The 2,435-nt window shown below is 46.3% G+C and overlaps 1 annotated feature.

Annotated features, from left to right (window-relative positions):
- Positions 1 to 500: an enhancer, noted in NCBI's record as "H3K4me1 hESC enhancer chr11:130674453-130674952 (GRCh37/hg19 assembly coordinates)". NCBI's record gives its function as "activates a minimal SCP1, AML or CMV promoter by ChIP-STARR-seq in naive H9 embryonic stem cells {active_cell/tissue: H9 hESC(naive)}" and the evidence as "EXISTENCE:reporter gene assay evidence [ECO:0000049][PMID:30033119]".

Consider the following 2,435-nt stretch of genomic DNA (forward strand, 5'->3'; position numbering starts at 1 on the left):
TCGTGCCTGGAGTCCCAGTACTTTGGGCAGCCACGGCTGGAGGATCACTTGTTGCCCAGGATTACCTGGCAACATATCGAGACCCTGTCTCCACGAAATAAAAACAAAAACCTGAGTGAGACTGGCCTGCGTTGCTGGAGAGGTGAAGAATGGAGTTGGGAGGGAAATGAGAGGCTGGACAGCTGGTGCAGCCTGAAAGTCTCTGTGCCTCTTTCATGGACTCTTTGCTTCCTGTAAACCAAAAATAAAATTATAAGCCCCCCACCCCCAACCATCCGAATGCCCTCTTTAGCCAGGGCACTCTAAGATTTAACCTGAAAGACTGGTTGAGGCTGCGACAGGAAGAGAGGGTTGGAAATGCCTCATTAAACCTCTCTAGCATTAAAGCAGACTTTCGGTCTGGCAAGAAACATGTACAATCTGTTCTCTCTGAAGGCTGCTACCTGGAGGCTTCATCTGCATGACAAAACTGTGGTCTCTACAACCTCTTATCAAAACCCAGACATTCCTTTCTATTGATTCCAGCTCTTTAGATAAACTCTTTCAACTAATTGCCAATCAGAGAAAGTTTAAATCTACCTATAACCTGGAAGCCCCCGTCCCCACCTTCAAGTTGTCCTACCTTTCTGGACCAAACCAATGTAAATCTTAAATGTATTTGATTGATGTCTCATGTCTCCCCAAAATGTATAAAGCCAAGCTGCACCCCACTCACCTTGGGCACATGTTCTCAGGATCTCCTGATGGCTATGTCACAGGCCATGGCCACTTATATTTGGCTCAGAATAAATCTTTTCGAACATTTTACAGAGTCTGACACTTCGTTGACACTCTTCTTCATGTCTAGCCACTTGCAGCCTTCAGTGAAGGACTGGATGCCATCACCTTAAAAACGAGGTTGTTGGCCGAGCGCGGTGGCTCACTCCTGTAATCCTAGCACTTTGGGAGGCCGAGGTGGGCAGGTCACCTGAGGTCGGGAGTTTGAGACCAGCCTGACCAACATGGAGAAACCCCGTCTCTACTAAAAATACAAAATTAGCCAGGCACGGAGGCGCATGCTTGTGATCCCAGCTACCTGGGAGGCTGAGGCAGGAGAATCACCTGAACCCAGGAGGCAGAGGTTGCGGTGAGCCGAGATCGTGCTATTGCACTCCGGCCTGGGCAACAAGAGTGAAACTCCATCTCAAAAAAAAAAAAAAAAAAAAAAAAAAAAAAAATGAGGTGGTCACCCTCCACAGACAATGGAAATGAGTCTGCAGGTTCCAAGACCGTTGTACTCCACAGTCATGCTCTGACTGTAAGATCTTCTACTAAAAACAAAATTCTGTGGACCTAAGCGACTAGCTGTGTACGAGGCTCTGGGAACACACAGTGAGCAGCACAAGCAGTCCTGCCTTGGGAGGCCTGGTCTAGAGGCTGCACGTAAAGACAAGGACAATGTGGCTTGAGAAGTTCGTTAAAAAGAAGCACAGAGGTCAGAACTCATGGGAACAGCATTTGATACAGACATGGGGCTAATGGGGCTGGGGGTAGGAAGAAGCCATATCAGACTATTTCTTTCAGAAAAAGTTGGACTTCATTTTCGAAATCTAACAAGTTCACTTGCATCCCTGTGACAATTGTCTCACTTCTGAATCCAAATTCTTAGCTGAGGCATAAATAGCCTTAGCCTGGGCTTGTCACCAGATGAAGTCCAATACCTTCACCTCCAGTATTTTCTAAGGAAAATATGTCCTTACGTCTCTGTCGGGGAATCTCCTTCAGGACAGATGAGTTCCAGAGGTGTCCCTGTGTGTGGCACCCAGGAGGTTTTCACAGTGCAAGAAATGTGCCTTTGGGAGATTCAGGATGGGTGAGAGGCACACAGTGTTTTTATAAAGCGGAAGTTGGCTGAGGGGAAGAAAAGAGTTCAGAAATGTGAACTACAGAAGCAGGTATATTATGAGGCAGAAATAATACACATCTAAGTTGAGAATCTGAACATTAATTCCCTTAAAACAGTCAATGCTTGACTAGTCCCTAGAAAAATTTTCATGGACCCCTATTTAAAGAATATTCATTTAAAAATAACTCTCATTTGCAAACTTAGCTGAGAAGCACTCCATTCATTCAGTATTTAGATTGCAGGAATCACCCCTCCCCCCAAGTTTACAGACCTCCCTTCTCTCCTTTCAAAAGAACATACATGTTTAGGCCAGAGTGGGCTGGGGCAAAGATGCCAAAGCCCACAGGCTGAATTCCCATTCCCCTCCTCCCACCCTGCACAGCTTCCCTCACCTGAACTGTGGAGACTTCTAAAGCAGGGGCACCACTCTGCCTCGGGGTTGGTCCTCTGGGGTAGGTAGTAAGGTTAATTGAGCCTCAGGCTGTTTCCATGACAACAAAACAAATGGTGTGGTTCATAGAATCACAGTTTTGCTACAGCTGAAAGAATT

Source organism: Homo sapiens, chromosome 11, assembly GCF_000001405.40.
Source record: "Homo sapiens chromosome 11, GRCh38.p14 Primary Assembly".
Lineage (NCBI taxonomy): Eukaryota > Metazoa > Chordata > Mammalia > Primates > Hominidae > Homo > Homo sapiens.